The sequence below is a fragment of the Homo sapiens genome, chromosome 8 (assembly GCF_000001405.40).
Source record: "Homo sapiens chromosome 8, GRCh38.p14 Primary Assembly".
Classification (NCBI taxonomy): domain Eukaryota; kingdom Metazoa; phylum Chordata; class Mammalia; order Primates; family Hominidae; genus Homo; species Homo sapiens.
The window spans coordinates 100,325,132-100,344,275 of NC_000008.11; the positions used below are offsets into that span (position 1 = coordinate 100,325,132).

General features: G+C 40.3%; 1 protein-coding gene and 1 long non-coding RNA gene across 13 annotated transcripts in view, besides 2 other annotated features; one reads left to right on the plus strand and one right to left on the minus strand.

Moving 5' to 3' along the window:
• RNF19A (ring finger protein 19A, RBR E3 ubiquitin protein ligase) overlaps positions 1-11,073 on the minus strand; it is a 79,138-nt gene extending 68,065 nt beyond the window's left edge. For all 10 annotated transcript variants that reach the window (NM_001280539.2, XM_047421671.1, XM_047421673.1 and 7 more), the window contains exon 1: positions 10,977-11,073. The gene's annotated coding sequence lies outside the window, so the exon portion shown is untranslated. The remainder of the gene's footprint in view (positions 1-10,976) is intronic.
• Positions 10,289-11,101: an enhancer, noted in NCBI's record as "OCT4-NANOG-H3K27ac-H3K4me1 hESC enhancer chr8:101347648-101348460 (GRCh37/hg19 assembly coordinates)". NCBI's record gives its function as "activates a minimal SCP1, AML or CMV promoter by ChIP-STARR-seq in primed H9 embryonic stem cells {active_cell/tissue: H9 hESC(primed)}" and the evidence as "EXISTENCE:reporter gene assay evidence [ECO:0000049][PMID:30033119]".
• Positions 11,102-11,913: an enhancer, noted in NCBI's record as "OCT4-NANOG-H3K27ac-H3K4me1 hESC enhancer chr8:101348461-101349272 (GRCh37/hg19 assembly coordinates)". NCBI's record gives its function as "activates a minimal SCP1, AML or CMV promoter by ChIP-STARR-seq in primed H9 embryonic stem cells {active_cell/tissue: H9 hESC(primed)}" and the evidence as "EXISTENCE:reporter gene assay evidence [ECO:0000049][PMID:30033119]".
• LOC124901991 (uncharacterized) overlaps positions 11,177-19,144 on the plus strand; it is a 45,617-nt gene continuing 37,649 nt past the window's right edge. For 2 of the 3 annotated variants that reach the window (XR_007061030.1, XR_007061028.1), the window contains exon 1: positions 11,177-12,584. This is a non-coding gene — a long non-coding RNA (uncharacterized LOC124901991). The remainder of the gene's footprint in view (positions 12,585-19,144) is intronic. The other variant, XR_007061029.1, reaches the window with a different exon arrangement.

Below are 19,144 nucleotides of genomic sequence, written 5' to 3' on the forward strand. Positions count from 1 at the left end.
TCCTGACCTCAGGTGATCCACCTGCCCTGGCCTCCCAAAGTCCTGGGATTATAGGCATGAGCCACTGCGCCCAGCTTAAAAGCATCGATTTTTAATAGAAAATCCTAGAAGAAGAAACATGTTTGATACTGAAGGCAGAGAACTTAAGAGCCTGAAGGGTTTTTGCAGAGAGTTTGGTTTCTGAGTCTTCCAAAAAGTAGTTACAATGTAACTGTGTAAATTTATAAATTATAAAATTACAAAGTAATTCTGGATCTGCCTCTATGGTGTCTGCTAATTTGCCCCTCTGTTTAACCTGGCCAGTTTCATGATCTCTGATGCTGGTGAGACCACACCTTGTCACCTCTAGGTCCTCCCTTTTCAGTAAGTGACCTCTGAACAAGACGTTTCAACTTTATATGTACCCAGGAATTTGGATCTAGTTCTCTGCCCTCAGCAGCACCACACCTCTAGCCTACGCCCTGGGTCCTCAAGCCCAGCCTATATTTGCCATATCTTGGCCCCATCCCACAGTAGGGAAGATTGAACACAACTTAACAGACCGATTATCTAGTCATTGTTATCAACCTCAATATTGCAGAAAATATCTGTGGATGTTTATGGATGGTATATGTATTTATGTGTGAGTATGTATTACACACACACACACACATTTATATCCATAAAATCTAAGCTCATAATTTCAATAGATATAACACGTCAAGCAAGACTTTAACTCATTTTCTTCCTTCTCTCCTCTTTTTAAAATTTATTTAATTAACAAACTGAGCTACTAGAGAAAACATATCAGACACAGTCCATGTCTGAACACTCACAGAATTCAGGGTATATATTTGAGTTGGACACTTATCCTATTACAAATCTATGTGCTACAAAGCTATATGCTATCTGCTATCCGGGTGTTTTATGCTCTTTGTCTAAAGCCTTCAGAAGTGCCTGTAATCTCATGACCTTGTCAGTCTATTGCCGTTTTCAGTCTGTCTCCACCCTTGACCTCATTTCCAGCCTGGCTTTCATCACCCTCACATGCATACGAAACTCTCTTACCCTGTTTCTATTCCACTCTGCTGGTCATGCCAATTCCCATCTGCTTGCTTTTTCTGTTCTTTCTTCTGAACTTCAGAAAAATGCTGATTCAATTCTCTTTAAATGCATACCACCTAACCTCAGTTTAGCAACCTCATTATTCATTTCTTGTTGATTCCAGAGCACAGTTCCTAACACAGCGATTCCCAGCATTTTCCATTCTTCTAAGTCCCTAATGCCCACATTCTTTCATTCCTTTTATTTAGCAAATTCTAACTGAGAATCAAAAATATGCTGTATACTGTGCTGGGCAGAGGGTATTATACTAGAGACAGAACAGAGCCAGTCCCTGCCCTAACAGATCTTGCAGTCTAGTGAGGGAAACTGAGGTAACCCCTCCCCCTTTCCTGCTTTACTGATACCATTCAATAAAGGGGAAAGCACTTGACCCCCTTATCCACCTTTGTCCCATGCCATCTCTCCCTGCCTTCCCTTCAAGTTTCTCTATCTTATTTCCTTCCCATGAGCTCTTGAATTCATTCCCTTCTTCCCTCTTCCAAGACCTTACTCCTTATGGGCCTTAATATTTTTTATTTTGAAATAAGTGATACTTATCTTAAACACTTTAAACAGTCTGTATCAAACACAAAACTGTATTTGACTCTCTTTGATGAAAGAAGTGCTGAGCATATTTGCTAATAGTTTCTAACTCAGAATTGGCAAGGTTTATTTAAGTGTTATCTTATACTTCTTTTCCTTTTGAAATTTGGTTCTGTCCCAAAATAATCAGCAGAGGAGCCAATGGGTTGACATCCTTGGATCTGGTCTAAACGTTCTGATTAACAGTTCCTCAGCAGATGTGTCAGCATTACTTCTCTTGAAATGATTCTATGTGGATTGTCTTCCAGGTACTTTTTATTTTGCTATGAAAAAAGTCCCACACATCTTTGGTTTGGTTTTTCTGTTTTTAATCTTAGCCTCGCTAACAAATGTAAAGAAAAATTATTCTCATCTTCTGGCTAATTTTGGATTGGTAAGGAAGAGTGTTTGAGTATCTAGGAATTCTTATAAAATTCAGCAATTACTTCTTTTTTTTTTTTTTTTTTTTTTTTGAGACAGAGTCTCACTCTGTCGCCCAGGCTGGGGTGCAGTGGCATGATCTTGGCTCACTGCAACCTCTACCTCCTGGGTTCAAGTGATTCTCATGCCTCAGCCTCCCGAGTAGCTGGAATTACAGGCGTGTGCCACCATGCCCAGCTAATTTTTGTATTTTTAGTAGAGATGGGGTTTCACCATGTTGGCTAGGCTGGTCTCAAACTCCCGACTCAAGTGATGTTCCCGCCTCGGCCTCCCAAACTGCTGGGATTACAGGCGTGAGCCACTGTGCCTGGCCACAATTACTTCTTATATGCTACTTACTGCATCAGTTCTTGAAAAACTCTCTCCTATAGGTGATGTCATCCATGACTTTATTGTGGTCATAACCTGGGAAATCCTGAGTGGATGGTCCCTCAGTTCCAGTGTCTTATTTTTCAGAAAGAGGATGCTAGAAATTTCCCTTTAGGAAAACATCCGGTTCCTCTTTTGAAAATAACACAAAAAGGGCATCACACAAAACAAGTTTGGAAAGGTGATGAGAGCACCATGGATGGTTCTGCTTCACCATTGTTCTTCAAGGCACCATTTCTTCTCCAGGGACTCAGAATATGTGATCAAGAAGCACAAATATATCATTTCTTTATTACTGTTGACACAATCTGACAGCTATTGCAGAGATTTGTGAGAAAACTGGTAAATAAATCCTAGAAAACAGGTAGGCTCTTCAAGTGTTTGAGGTAAGAGTCTCGCATCATGATGAGTCTGAGAACTCAGTTCTTTTATAAGAATGGCTGTCTTTGCTCTTGAATGCATGCATTATGGGAGGCGAGATGAAAGGGCAGGTGGTATCTACATCCCCCCACTCTCCACCCACTCCTCACACAATGCACCTCCCTTTCTTTGAGTCAGGGAAGACTCCACCTTCTGCCACACCCTCAGTGTCCCAGTTGCCCATTCTCCTTAATCATCGTAATTGGCACTTTCCCAGACCCTCAAGGTACTTAGGACCTCGTGGCAGTGTTGGGGCTGAGACTCATTGAGTCAAAAGATCTAGCCTCTGCCAGGGAGAGGTCAGCAGTGGAAATTATCAAATCCAAGAGACAAAGTGAACTTTAGTTCATTATGTTGTCTGTCAACATGCACAGGTTCTAGTCTAAGGGGCCTGGGACAGAGAATAGGAGAGGACTTCTAGGCATTAATGTTTTTGTTTTTTGTTTGTTTGCTTTTTTTTTTTGAGACAGAGTCTCGCTCTGTCACCTAGGCTGGAGTGCAGTGGCACAATCTCGGCTCCCTGCAACCTCCACCTCCCGGGTTCAGGCGATTCTCTTGCCTCAGCTCCCTGTGTAGCTGGGATTACAGGCACGCGCCACCACACCCAGCTAATTTTTGCATTTTCAGTAGAGACGGGGTTTCACCATGTTGGTCAGGCTAGTCTCAAACTCCTGACCTCGTGATTCACCCCCATCAGCCTCCCAAAGTGCTGGCATTACAGGCGTGAGACACCGCACCTGGTCTGCGTTAATGTTTTAAGACAGCAATGGTTGTGCAAATCTTAGATCAGGGAGATCTTTCCAAATAGAAGAAGCAGGTTATAGACTTGTGCAAAGGGTCTTCTATAAACCAGGTGAGCAGGTCATAAGGGAATAGGACCCCCAGATGACACAGCTAGAGCACGAAGGGCTTCAGTTCCACTAAGGATACCGAGGTGGATCTAGGAATCTGGGTCTTGCGCAGGTTTATCAGTTTGGCTACATGGTGATGACTCTTCTCCAAAGCACAGGCCAGATGTGACTAATTCCAGGTGCCTCCAGATCTGTCCTGGCTGCTACCCTTTAATTTGATATAGGAGAGGGAGAGGGGTGGTGTAGCTTACAGACACCAAAGTGTTCGTTCATCCAGAACTGCTGGCACAAAGCAAAAGTGGGTGCAAAGGTTGGCAGTGGCTGACTTGAAACCACAGGTCAAAGCTCATCTCACACATGCACATATACATATACACACATACACGTACACAAACACACACATTAGGACGTTCTATTCTTTTGGATCAAAAAATGCCACCTACATAGTTACAAAAGGCCTGACTTGGCAGCCATTCATGAGGGAAAAAAAAAAGACTTGGGATTTTAATGTTCACAAGCTCAAAATGAGTGAGTTGTGATACAGTGCTGCAAAAACAAAACAAAACAAAACAAACAAACAAACAAAAAAAGTCAGTGAATCTTAGGTTGCATTAGCAAAGCATGTATAGTGTCCAGATAAAGGAAGTCAATGGTCCCACTGAACTCAGCAATGGTCAGGCCTCATCTGGAGGCTTATATTTAAGCACATTTTAAAGAGAGACACATGCAAACTAGCATGAATCCAAAGACAGACAACTAGGTTAAGAGAAGTCTGGAAACCATGTCACCTGATATGTGGTCAAAAGAACTGGTTGTACTTGGCTAAGAGAGAAAAGACTAGAGCAGAAATGAAGTGTCTTCCAACACTTAAAGGATCGTCTGATGAAAGAAGAAGTAGCTTCATGGTTTGTTAATCCAGAGGGCAAACTGAGTACTAGATTTCAGCTCAATGAAAAGCAGACATTTTAAAGAATCAGACCCACATGACAATAAAATTAAATATTTTCTCATGTATCCCATACATTTGCACAAATGAAAAATTTAAATACTTTCCAAAATCATGAACTATCTATTACTGAATATGTTCAAGTAGAGCTTAGATGGTCATGTAAGGGATCCTAATTTGTTTTTTTGTGGGGGAGGCAGTGGGAGGAGGCTTATAGGAGAGGTGGGGGAAGTTGGATTAGAGGGCTGCCAGGATCCTTCTTGGCTCTTAGAGTTCATAATTATTCTCTACCGACGTTTCCATCCAAACACCATCCCTTCCACTTCTTCCAGAGTTTGCTCCCACAATCTCCCCAACCTTCTCTAGCATCTTAACTTTTTCTCTCTCCAAAGCCTCTTTCTAATTTTTGTTAAGGAAGGGAACAACTGTCGTTTGATCTTGTTTTTGACCATAGTGGACTGTTATTATTTTTATTATTTTCAACTGTTCAGCATCTTTGTGTTTGGAAACAGCATCCTGATTTATTTGGAGACCCATCCCTCCCTCATTCTTGGTTCATAATATTAAAGTCATGACCTGTAAGGGTTATGATCTTTGCCTGGCATAGTGACTATTTTAGGGATGGACATTTGACACAGTAGTCCAATATGAATTAGTGATGAGATTTTTACTGGAACTATTAGGAACTGTTGGGGACACTTATGTGTTAATTGCAAAGCTGGAGTTGCCAGAAGCCAACATGTGGAAAGAGTCTGCAAGAGAATAAAGCCAACACAGAAAAGTGGGTGTTGGGGAGGGTGGAGAAAGAGAACGAATATCCTGATGATATTGTTGAGTCTCTGGACTTTCCAGTTACCCAAGGCAATAAATTACCTGTTTTATTTAGCTCTCCATCTCTTGAAGCCAAAGTAGTCTGAACAATATGTTTGTCCTTTCAGTTTCTAACTTCTCTCCTTCTCTCTCCTTCCCATGGCTTCTAAGGCCCAAGAAAACTTGGCCCTGCCCACCTCTCCAACTTCATCTCTCTCCACAACCCTCTTGAGACTCTTGCTGTGTATACAGCATTAATGCGAAAAGTGCAGACTGGCTCCAAGGCTCTGAGCTGGTCTTTCTGAAATCTGACTCCCTTGTAACATTTTTGCAGGGAATCTTCTTTTCACTTCTAAATGCTTTTTGTTTCTGAGTCTTCCTTTCACATTGATACGTCCATTTCTATCTATGGCTCCTCCACTTTTCTACCCTTTAGGTTAGAATCCTAATCTCCTATCTAACACATTTATTAAGCACATCCCATATGGGTCAGGTGCTGGGCAATTCAATAAGAAAGACAACATTCACAGCCTGATCATCTTGGGTTTAAAGGAAAGAACACTTGACACAGCTGTATCTGAATCTCAGTTTGGAGAGAATCCAAGTGGCCGTCCTTTTGAACCTTGATTTCACATAATGTAGAAAAGCCATCGTCCTCTTGAGATATTCCCATTGCAACTCCTTTCAAGACATCTTATTTAGAACAGAAAAACAGATATAGGCCAGGTATGGTGGCTCATGCCTGTAATCCCAGTACTTTGGGAGGTCAAGGTGGGAGGACTGCTTGAGCCCAGGAGTTTGGGACCAGCCTGGACAACATGGTGAAACTCCATCTCTACAAAATATTTTAAAAAGTAGCTGGGCATGGTGGCATGCACCAGCAGTCCCAGCTACTCGGGAGGCTGAGGCAGGAGGATTGCTTGAGCCCAGGATGTCAAAGCTGCAGTGAGTCATGACTGTGCCACTGCACTCCAGCCTGGGTAACAGAGAGAGACAAACAAACAAAACAAAACAAAAACCAGATATACGGCGCAAAATTTGAAAGGAATAAAAGGGTAGAGTGAAAGTCTCTTTTTAAATTCTATTCTTTAATTTCCACCTCTTCAGTGCCTCTCCTGCAGACAACTATTATCCGTTTCATATGTATTGATCAAAAGCAAGTCTGTGCACATACAAATAAATCTATATATATCCTCCCCAGCCCTACCTACCTCTCTTACACAGTACTAACCTTTGCACCCTGCTTTTTTACTCAAGAATATATCTTGGAGAATTACTATTAATATATCAGTACCTACAAACTCACACAGTTCTTTTTAATGGCTGCATGATATTTAACTTTACAGATACACCATATATTAACTAAATAATTTCCTATTGGTATACCTTATGTTGTTTCCAATATTATGCTCCTACAAACATATTTGTAAGAATTATCTGGGTTATATATTATTTTACACATATTGTGAATTACCTGTAGGATAAATTCCTAAAAGTGGAATTGCTGGTTTAAAGGATATGTCCACTTTCCATACTGATATCTGATTTGGTTTGGCTCTGTGTCCCCATGTAAATCTTATCTTGAATTGTAATCCCCATAATCCCCAAGTGTCGAGGGAGGGATGTGGTGGGAAGTGATTGGGTCATGGTGGTAATTTCCCCCATGTTGTTCTCATGATAGTGAGTGAGTTCTCACGTGATCTGATGGTTTTATAAGTGTCTGGCATTTCCCTTGTTTGCACTTCTTTCTCTCCTGCCGCCTTGTGAAGAAGGTGCCTGCTTCTCGTTCCACCATGATTGTAAGTTTTCTGAGGCCTCCTTGGCCATGCAGAACTGTGAGTCAATTAAATCTCTTTCCTTTATAAATTACTCAGTTTCAGGGAAGTTCTTTATAGCAGTGTGAAAACAGACTAATACAATATCTATTGTCCAATTATCCTACAAGTGATCACATAAATCACCTTGATAAGACAAATGGTCTTATCAGCAATGTATGCATTGCCTATTTTCCAACATCCTCTTTAACAAAGTGTATTATTAAACATTTTGGTCTTTGCAAATTTGTTAAAATGTTATCTCATTTTCATTTTAACTTGCACACTTAATTGTGAGTGAAGTGGATTATCTTTTGTTTTTAAAACCCATTTGTATTTCCTTTTCTAGAACCATTTGTTCATGTCCTTTGCCCATTTTCCTATTAGGATGTTGACCATTATTGATTGGTACAAGCTGTTTATATTTTGTGGAAATTAGCCTCTTTTCTATCATATGTGTTTCAATTTTTTTCTATATTGCTGTTTAATCTTTCATTTTGTCTATGGGTTCTCTTTTTGCTTTGTCTTATTTACATTTGCCAAGAACATGACAACTTTGACTCTTTTCTCTTTTTCACCCTCAGTATATTGCTAACTCTTAAAATTTGTTCCTTCTTACCATTTCTAGTATGGAAAAAAAAAAGAACAAACCTAGGTTCTGCCTTCATAAATGGGGTGGGTTAACATGGGAGTGGGTTTGTCACAAAAGTGTGTTTGGTCCTGTCTTGCTCTTCCTCTTGTCCATGTGATGCTTTCTGCCATGTAATGATGTAGCAAGATGGCCCTCATCAGATGTGCCCACTCAACCTTGGACTTCCCAGATCCAGAACAATGAGCCAAATACACTTCTATTGTTTAACAATTACCCAGTCTGAGGTATTATATTATAGCAGCACAAAATGGACTAAGACAGCTGTTGTCTTATAAGTAAATCACAGTGCATCTATACCAAGGAAGTTCACATAGCTACAAAAACAAAGCTTAAAGCTATTAATGACAAGAGAAAATGCTCACACTATTATATTAGAGGCAAGATTCAAGATTGCTTATACAGCGAGATCAGTACCATATAAAAGTATATCAAAATCAGAAAGAAATATGTCAAAGCAGCAGTTACCTGTGTTTAGAGATTATGCATAATATTTTTCTGGTTCCTTTTACTTTTCTGTGTGTTGCCTGGGCAACATAGCAAGAGCCCATCTCTAAAAATTTTTTTAAAACAATAGCTGGGCATGGTGGTGTCTCCTGTAGTCCTAGCTACTTAGGAGGCTGAGGTGGGAGGATCACTTGAGCCCAGGAGTTCAATGGTGTAGCCAGCTATGATTATGCCACTGCACTCCAGCCTGGGCAATAGAGTGACACCCTGTCTGTAAACAATAACAACAAAAACCGAAAACACATTGTCTATCTTTATTTACGACCCCATAATGACTCCCTGTTCCCTACAGCATGATGTTTAAATTATTCAGTCTAGTACCCCGATATTCTAACTTTGGCCCCACTCTACTGAAATTATCCAAGTGTATTTACTACTACTGCCCAATAAACATCCTCCACCCTAGTTGGACTGGTCTGTCACTGTTTGTGCCTACACCATGCCTTTTCTTGATTTTGCTCATTCTGTTCACTGTGCTTGTAATGCACTTCCTCAGGCTCCCTTTGTGCCCAAATCCTTCTCATCTTCAGGAGGTTCCACCTTCTCCATCTTGACTTTCACCTTGCCCTTTGCCAAACTCTCGGAGCATGTTCTTTTCATCATAGCCACAACATAATGCTTCACGGTTCTGCCACCATTTCTTGTGTGCTAATTTTGACTTTTCAACTATTTTGAAAGCTCTGTGAAGGCAGGCAGTATTAATCATTATCTTCTTTTCACCCTCTGCTCTGTTTCCACACAGTGCTGAGCAGAGGGTAAGGCTCGATAAACTGCTGACAAGGCTGATATGATGACCAAGTTCTTGGGCAATGTCTTCTTTCCTCCTTTCCTCTGTTCTTACCTGCTAGCCTCTCTTCTGAGTAGTGCTCAGTAGCAGAGGCAAATTAGTTGAAGCCCCAGAACATTGGGGTTCTGAGCCCTGGCTGCACATTATAAGTATCTGGGGAGCTTTAAAAAATATGGCTGCTCACCTTCTCCCTTTCTTGTGCCCCACCTCCGAGCTCCAGAATTTTATTGGTCTAAGATGGGACCAGCATTGGTATGTTTTCTAAAGCTCCCTTGTTGATTCTAACGGTTTCATTGAGTCCCACTCCTTTCAAGACCCAGCCCCGCTGGCGTGCACCCATTCAGCACTTTCCTGTCTGGTTTCCAGGCAGGAAGTCATCCTAGAACTGGCCAGAGACTCCAAAGAGACGGTCTTTAGATAAGTCCTTTGACATCAGCTATAGCCTTTGTTGTATTTCAAAGGTGTTTACCTTCAAATTGACAACTGTCTGCACTGGGGCCTGCTCTGAAGGTTGCCTTTCAGTCTAGGCACCAAGATAAGCTAATGGGTAGATAGACCAGCACTAGGGTTAAAATAAGCTCAGATCTCCCCAAACAATACCCTGTTGTTATACAGTTAAGCAATCTGATTGAAGCAATTTGTTTTAATTGGAAATGCAATACACAATTTTTATGACAGAGCTAGAACACTGTGTCAAGGAAAAGTAATTACGTATATACAAATAGGAAAACCTCAACTATTATCAACCATTATAAAAACTCTACTAATATGTTAGTACATAGCTCCCCTATTTATATAAGAACAACAAAACAACAACAACAGCAATAATACTAATAGTTAACAATTTTTAACACTTACTGTAAACCAGGTACCCATCCTAAATGTTTAATTTGGATTTTTCTCATTTAAAGTGGCAGCCCTGTGAAAGATGTACTATTATTATCCTCATTTTATCTATGAGGAAATTGAGGCACTGTATTACAAAAGATTTGCTAGCTGGGAAGTGGCAGAGCCAAGATTAGAAAATGTTCAGAGATATCTACTCAACAACTTCCTAGTTTCTATTTCAAAGGAAAATGAGATTGAATTGAGAAAAAAAGAAACCCAAGCTGTCCCAAATATGAGTACATATTAAATACTTTTTACTATTTTTACTTTAATAATTTTTAATGGAAATTACTCCAAAGTCTACTGTACACATCACTGCTTCCTTAAATAGAAGAAACTGAACACAATTTAACCTTTTCTTAAAGACTTCATGTTACTGTCATAGACTTTATCTGGGGAGGCTAGATGGAGCCTGATTCTCTGGGGCTTTTTATGGTTTGAAGAGTTGGGTCACTCTTACCCAGTGCACTGGACAGTGACGGTGGCCGCCTGTCCCTAGGTGCTTTCTAAGGTAACTGCTCTGCCCACAGTCCCTGCGGAGGTGCGGGCCTAGACAGCAGTGCTCTGGTCTAAGTGGGCCAGGCTGCCCCTCAGCCACGGCTGATTGGGCAAAGAGCCCACACGTGACCCAAAGCAGCTATCCTATAGGTTGGCCGCTTTCTATACTATGAACCAACGGGACAAGTTTAGCCAAAAATGGGTGAGATGGTCCAGATTCTCCCTTTGGAGAATTTGAATGACTGGTTAGCAGTGGGAGCTAAAGGGATATACAGTACAGACAGAGTCCATGGGATAGAACAAGCAAAACTGATAAGAAACCAGATATTACCATGAGCAGAAGCTGTGGGGTAGCGAAGAAATGCAGGGCATGGGTCCCACACTCAAATGCCCTCGGCAGTAGACAGGCAGTGCCAATGAGAGAAGAGGGCGCGGCGAAGGTGATCCCGCACGTAAAGATTCCGGACTGCCAAGCTCATGCCACGCCCAGAGACTTCGGAATTCTCAACAATGCAAAGGCGTCCTGCTGGCCAAACACAATGAGTCTGCAGGCTGAAATAGGTCAGGAGCTGCCAGTTTGCAAATTCCAAAGAAAGGACGAGGAAGTCAGTTAGGGGCAAGCCCAGAAACCGAACGACACTGACAAGCACAGAGGCAAGGGAGAGCAGATTCACAAAAATAACTCATCGCTGAGGTGAACTCCCGATGCTGAAGTCCTGAGGTAACCTTGGATTCCCGATGACGTCCTGGCTCCAGTCTTCATGAGACTTCTCGCTCTTGAAGCTCCTGTTCTTCCAGAGGCTTGGTGATTTGGCCTCTCCTGGGTTCCCACGAGGCCTTTTGGGGCTGAGATCCCTGTTTTCTTCATTCCTTATAACTCCTTCCCCTAATATTATATGTAACTTGAGCTGTTCCTCGGAACCAAAAGAGCCTGACGAAAACACTCTAAATGGCCCCAGATTGTTTTTTTTTTTTTTTCTTCTTTGGAATTATTGTACTCCTATTTATAGTTTTTCTGTTTCCTCCTTTGCTGCTAGGCCGTCAACTGTCACTTTTTATTGCTGTAGTGTGCTTGCTTCTCCTGGCCATTCTCTCTGTTAATAAAGCTACTCATAGACTTGGACACTAGATCTGGAAGCCTGATGGAATTAAAAAGTTGAAAGTAAACAAGCAATGAAACAAGGGTGAATTTTATAGGATGTAAGTTAAATCTTAATACAGTTGTTATACAAATTTAAAAAGTAATAAAGGATTTTTAGTATCACAAGATCTTTTGTATATAGTATTTTGAAAATGCAATTTGGCTATTCAGATGCATTTCTTGTTTACTTTTTTACTTTTGGCTCTAGTCCAGTTGGTGCATATCTTACTAAAGTAATCTCTGGTTCTGAGGAATCAAAACATACTGGAGCCAGCACAAGTAATGGGAAGGAGATTTATTTTAAGTTATCATACAGAACCCAACTGAAGAAAGCATGTGTGATCAGGCAGCTTCTCTCCCTCTTTCTGTTCCTCCCTTTGCTTGGTTTTCCAATCTCTTTGTCCTTGTTTCACATCTGCTCCATTTTCCTTTTGGCAGACTAGTTATTCTGCATCTCTGTAAGTTTTTTTGGTTACTTTACCCTCATAACACTGGCTTGCATATGGTTTTGAGCTGTCATGCTGCCAGTTTTGGCAACAAGTCTTCATGACCTCGCATCATCAGTGTCAACACTATCCACTTCAGCTTCTGTGTCTCTCAGAATATGATTTACTCAGTTTGGGCCAAGTGACTGCCCCTAGTCAAATTAGCTGGTCAGAGAGCAGAGCACAGCCCCTATTATTTAAGGAATGTCCTTCCAGTCTGCAGGCAGATAGGCTCTCCAAGGAGATTTTGGCAGGGGTGAAATGACTGGCATTTTGACCTGAGCGAAATTTCTGAATTTCCGAGCTGTGATAGGTAATGTATTATTACATATTTACTTTTCCTCTTCTTTTTTGCTCTTTATTCAGCACTTAAAGTCCTACTAACAATAAAATTGTTTGTTGGTGATATTACCTATCAGCACCTGGAGTTAGATTATCTAGTCTAGTAAATAATTGCTATTTTAGTTTTTATTTATGTAAAACTACAAAAATGTTAAAGACATTTCTTCCCTTCAGCTCTTTTCTGTCATTTCTCAGGACTCTACTACTAAACTATCATTGTAAAACTAGTCTTGTGGTTTGGTTTGTTTCTTTGAGACAGAATATCACTCTGTCACCCAGGCTGTAGTGCAGTAGCACGATCTTGGCTCACTGCAACCTCCGCCTCCTGGGTTCAAGCAATTCTCCTGCCTCAGCCTCCCAAGTAGCTGGGACTACAGGCACCCACTACCACGCCCAGATAATTTTTGTATTTTTAGTAGAGATGAGGCTTCTCCATGTTGGCCAGGCTGGTCTCGAACTCCTGGCCTTAAGTGATCCCCCGAACCTCGGCCTCTCAAAGTGCTGGGATTACAGGCGTGAGCCACCGTGCCCAACTGTAAAACTAATTCTTGTTCAGACAAAACATAGTGGAGATTTAATTTTTAACAATGTAACTAAAAGTTTTTGATGTTTTTGTAAAATCAACTTAAACTCCACATTTCATCTACACAGGGATGCTTTCCTGACCAAAAAGTCTTCAGGAATGTAGGGGTGATTTGAGAATTTGTCTAAAATCACTACTTTCTATCATACTTCCTTCTCTTCACAGAAGTATGAAATAATTACAAGTCAATCACAGGTGAAAGAGTTTTTAGTAGTTTTTCAAAAGGTGCCAGGTGTTAGAGAAAACATTTCCTCTAAGCCAAAACCAGAACAGTTCTATTTAAAAAACAACAAAATACAAAGTAAATGTTTCCCCATTTTTATTCTAGCTTTTAAATGGTACTAAACAGTTTACAAAACATTTTCTTGCGCATGATTAAAGTTAATAATCAAAATAATGTTCTGGCCAGGTGCAGTGACTCATGCCTATAATTCCACCACTTTGGGAGACCGAGACAGGAGGATCACTTGAGCTCAGGAGTTTGAGACCAGCCTGGCCAACATGGTGAAATCCTGTCTCTTAAAAAGAAAAAAAAATAGCCTGTTGTGGTGGCATGTGCCTGTAGTCCTAGCTACTCAGGAGGCTAAGGTGGGAGAATCACTTGAGCCCAGAAGGTTGAGGCTGCAGTGAGCTGTGATCGCACCACCGCCCTCCAGCCTGAGCAACAGAGCAAGACCCTGTCTCAAAATAATAATAATTAATAATAATAATGTTCTGAGGCTGGTAATATCATTTTGTAGCTGGAAAACAGGCTTAGAGAGGTTATGTGACTTGTTCAGGGTCACAGTGCCATGTGCACCGGGTAAAAACTAAAGTGGTCTTACTATAAATCTTATGGGGTTTGAATGGCACTTACTCTCCCTTTTTTTTATCCTTAAAATAAATTTGAGAGGTGGAGGTAGGGCATTAGTTAAGTGCTGTATCTTAGGGTTATCAAAGCCTGCAAATTCTCAGTACAAACTTTCAGTATAATCTTGCTTTGTTTCTCTAAACTCAAGACTCATACATATTATGATATAACAAATGACTGCCTAATTATTTATAATAAATTGAGTGACAAATTGAGGGTCACCACAGCCTAAGGCAATGTTTGAATCTGCCCCTTGCAGTTGAAATCATATACACTATTTTAATTCAGTGTATCCCTTTCTAAATTTGTCAGGCATATAACTCTATGGAGATTAAAATAATGTAAAATGTAAATCGCTAACGAAACCATTCTTGGAAGGAATAACTTTTACTGCTATCTAAAGAAAGCAAATTAGTCCCCTAAGTGAGACTGTGATTGTGTGGTTGTGGTGGTTAGGATGTTAGCCTACTTAAAAGCAAAGGAGATAGATGCATTTGCTATTTATATGTAAATAGATACAGCTAACTACCCAAAGTGTTATTCCATCACTAAAGTAGGCAACTAGAGCTTCTACTTAGAAACTCCTTCTTACTAGTTCAAGTTACTGTATGTTTCCAAAAGGAATACAATGATTTAGCGTTTTTTAAAATTATTATTATACTTTCAGTTCTGGGATACATGTGTAGAACATGCAGGTTTGTTACATAGGTATACACGTGCCATGGTGGTTTGCTGCACCCATCAACCCGTCATCTACATTAGGTATTTCTCCTAATGCTATCCCTCCCCTAGCTCCCCACCCCCGCTGACAGGCCCCAGTATGTGATGTTCCCCTCCCTGTGTCCATGTGTTCTCATTGTTCAACTCCCACTTACAAGTGAGAACATGCAGTGTTTGTTTTCTGTTTCTGTTAGTTTGCTGGGAATGATGGTTTCCAGCTTCATCCATGCCCGTGCAAAGGACATGAACTCATCCTTTTTTACGGGTGCATAGTATTCCATGGTGTATATGTGCCATATTTTCTTTATCCAATATATAATTTATGGGCTTTTGGGTTAGTTCCAAGTCTTTGCTATTTTGAATAGTCCTGCAGTAAACATATGTGTGCATGTGTCTTTATAGTAGAATGGTTTATAATCCTTTGGGTATATACCCAGTAATGGGATTGCTGGGTCAAATGGTATTTCTGGTTCTAGATCCTTGAGGAATCTCCACACTGTCTTCCACAATGGTTGATCTAATTTACACTCCCACCAACAGTGTAAAAGTGTTCCTATTTCTCCACATCTTCTTGAGCATCGGTTGTTTCCTGACATTTTTAATGATCGCCATTCTAATTGGCGTGAGATGATATCTCATTTTGGTTTTGATTTGCATTTCTCTAACGACCAGTAATGATGAGCTTTTTTTCATGTTTGTTGGCCATATAAATGTCTTCTTTTGAGAAGTGTCTGTTCATATCTTTTGCCCACTTTTTGATGGGGTCGTTTTTTTCTTTTTCCTTTTTTTTTTTTTTTTTTTTGAGACGGAGTCTCCCTCTGTCACCCAGGCTGGAGTGCAGTGGCACAATCTTGGCTCACTGCAAGCTCCGCCTCCCAGGTTCACGCCATTCTCCTGCCTCAGCCTCCAGAGTAGCTGGGACTACAGGTGCCCGCCACCACACCCGGCTAATTTTTTTGTATTTTTAGTAGAGACGGGGTTTCACTGTGTTAGCCAGGATGGTCTCGATCTCCTGACCTCATGATCCGCCTGCCTTTAAGTTCCTTGTAGATTCTGGATATTAGCCCTTTGTCAGATGGATAGATTGCAAAAATTTTCTCCCGTTCTCTAGGTTGCCTGTTCCCTCTGATGATAGTTTCTTTTGCTGTGCAGAAGCTCTTTAGTTTAATTAGATCCCATTTGTCAATTTTGGCTTTTGTTGCCAATACTTTTGGTGTTTTAGTCATGAAGTCTTTGCCCATGCCTATGTTCTGAATGGTATTGCCTAGGTTTTCTTTAGGGTTTTTATGGTTTTAGGTCTTAAACATTTAAGTCTTTAATCCGTCTTGAGTTAATTTTTGTATAAGGTTTAAGGAAGGAGTTCAGTTTCAGTTTTCTGCATATGGCTAGCCAGTTTTCCCAACACCATTTATTAAATAGGGAATCCTTTCCCCATTGCTTGTTTTTGAATGATTTGGTTTTTTAAAGTCTCTAATTCAGACTTTTCACAACTTTAGAGTTTTCTCTCTACTACGTGTAAATGAGTAGGATTTTGCTGTGTTTATTATGATGTGAAAGACCGACATTGGATTGGAATTTAGGTCTTCTGTGTGCACTGTTCACTACATTTTGTTTGTTAGAGTTATTTAGTGCTTATAACAGAATAGTCACAGCTGTGATGAGCAGAGGAATAGTTCTTATGGCCTAGAGAGGATGAGCAAGAAATAATCTACATGCAATAACATACTAAGAAACAGAGGGCACTCATCAACAGATGAGTTGTTTTAATTTCTAATTCTTTATGTTGACTATATTTCTAATCCCTTTGCCTAAAGGCATTTAGAATCACTCTGGGAAGAAAAATAATCAAGATGTTTGGCCAACAATGTAGGGATAAGGAAAAAGAGTATGACTCCAATGAAAAGGGCTGAGAGGGGAGAGCTGCGGTTCAGCACAGAGACGAAAAGTCAGAGGTAAACATAAGAGGAACAGCAATATTAGATTTCTGTTAAGAGTAAAAGGATTGGTGCGGGTATTGGGAAGGAATGGGAGAAGTTGATTCAACAAAATCACAGGACTGGAGAATTTTGAATATAAAGAAAGGAAGACAGTCCCCTTTTCATACACGAGTTTGTGAAAATGTGGATTTAAATCAAATGTGTCAAAGCTGAACAATAGAATTATATGTTACAAGGAGGATTTTAGTCCAGAGTATAAATAATTGTATATACCTATATGAAACTTTAGAATAACCTTTGCAATATGGTTCTAGCATTTAACTCATATTATCAATTTTGTATTTTTCCATTACAACTGAACAAAAATTAATCAGTTTATGTCTAAAAAAGTATCTGAGGAGGCTGAGGATTCCCATGTTTCTGATTGTCACGATTGTTCATAAGACCAATGCTTCTAATTCCCATTCTTAACAATTTCATTTTATATTTTATACTTTTAGTAAAACGAAGGTAAAATGCAATAACTATTCAAATAATTGTTGAAACACTGAGGCAGAGAAAGATGGCAATATATTTGAAATCAACCTGTTGCCTACCAGGTAGCTCCCTCTACCTACCTCAAATATCCGTTTGTTAGCTTAAACACAAAAGATCCAAGTTCAGCATATGAAGACACTTTAGTGGCATTATCTAATATGTGACTGTGGACTAACATCAAAGAAGTCAGGTAAATGGAAAGCCTAAGGCTGAAATTAATTAATTAATTAATTAATTTTTAAGCCCGTCAAATTTACCAGTGGGGGGTTGTATACCAACCAATGGGAACGGAGAGAAATCTAGGGGGGCAAGACTTCTGGGAAAATTTTCCTCCATGTGAAAAGACAGACCATGAGTATAAACCCTTTTCCCCCTTCTTACCTATGAAATATGGCCATGACAAGAGAAGAAGCAGGAAAACCAATTAGGAGGCTCTTGGAGTGGTCCAGGTGAGAGATGATGGTACCTGCACTAGAGTAACACCAATGGAGATGGAGGGCAGGACACCGTCAGGGTATATTTTGGAGATAAACAAAACAAAACAAAACAGAAACAGTGGAACATGCTGATGGATTAGATGTGTGGGACCAGGGAAAGAAGTCAAGGATGAGTTCCAGCACGGAATGTCCAGAATAACCCAGGAGGAGGGATGTAGGTGGTGGTGGAAGATAAGCAAGTTTGCCCATAGTTGATCACTGTTAAAGCTGAGTGATGAGTACATGGGGTTCACTTTGCTATTTTGTCACTTTTCTTTATGCTTTAAACTGTCCACCATAAAAGCGTCTTAAATGCCAAAAAAAAAAAAAAAAAAAAAAAAACAATAAAAATAAAAAGAGAAAGGAATATGGCCATGAAAAGATGTAAGGCTTGGTGTTCTGGTGGCCATTTTGTAATTATGAGAGCAAACCAGGCCAATAGCAGAGAGATTGCCCCAGAGTCCTGACACTGTCATGCCACTCATTTCACCATTCCCAGAGCTTCCTACTTTCAGGCTTCTTGTTATGGAAGAGAAACAAAATGGAGAAAAAACAAAACTAAAACAAACCTGTGTTGTTTACATCACTTTTATCTGGTTAAACTAAATTTTTTTTACTTGCAGCCAAATACATCCTGATGTATAGATCAAATATGTAATTTGATCCCATGAGGCAAAAAGCACAGAATAACCACTGGATTTGGAGTTTGCTCTGCAGCCTCACCTAGACCTCTCATTCCTGCAGTCACTTCTTATAGTCTCCTCCTGTCTGTTTCTCTTGGACTAATTTCCTCTTCCGTCCAAACAGGAGTGTCACCTCTCGTCAGTCTCAGTGAATTCACTCCCTTGTCCTCTGCCAAGCCTCTCCTGCATTGGCCTCATCACTCGTATGCTGATCATGTTCAGCAATACAACCAGCAATACAACCAAGGACAATTGCCTAACAAAAGCAATTGCAATTTCAAGGTTCCGAGACTCACCTGGGCCCTTACCATCATTTAGCTTCCCTTCTATTTTTTAGTGGTTACCTCTCTTCCCCATTCTCCATGGTATCTATGCCAGATCTTAGTTACTCTTCTCCAACATACTGTTCTCTAGCCTTGTCTCCCTTCTTTTATCAGATGATCTTGTCTCCTTCCAGAGAAAATGGAGACCAAGAGGTGATACCATTTAACACCCCCAACCCCACCCACTTACAAATTTTGCTTTAATTTCTTTCCTTTTTGTTTTAGTGGGAAAAGGGATTCATTTGTGTCCTCGTGAACTCCTGTTCCAATCTGCTTTTGACTCTTTTGTAATTTTTTATATTATATATCTTCAATCGCTCTTTTTCTCTAATGGTACCTATGTTCAAATCTCTTATTTTCTCCACATACAAAACCTAACTCAAAATGGATTATAGACCTAAAATCTACACTGTGAACTGTTT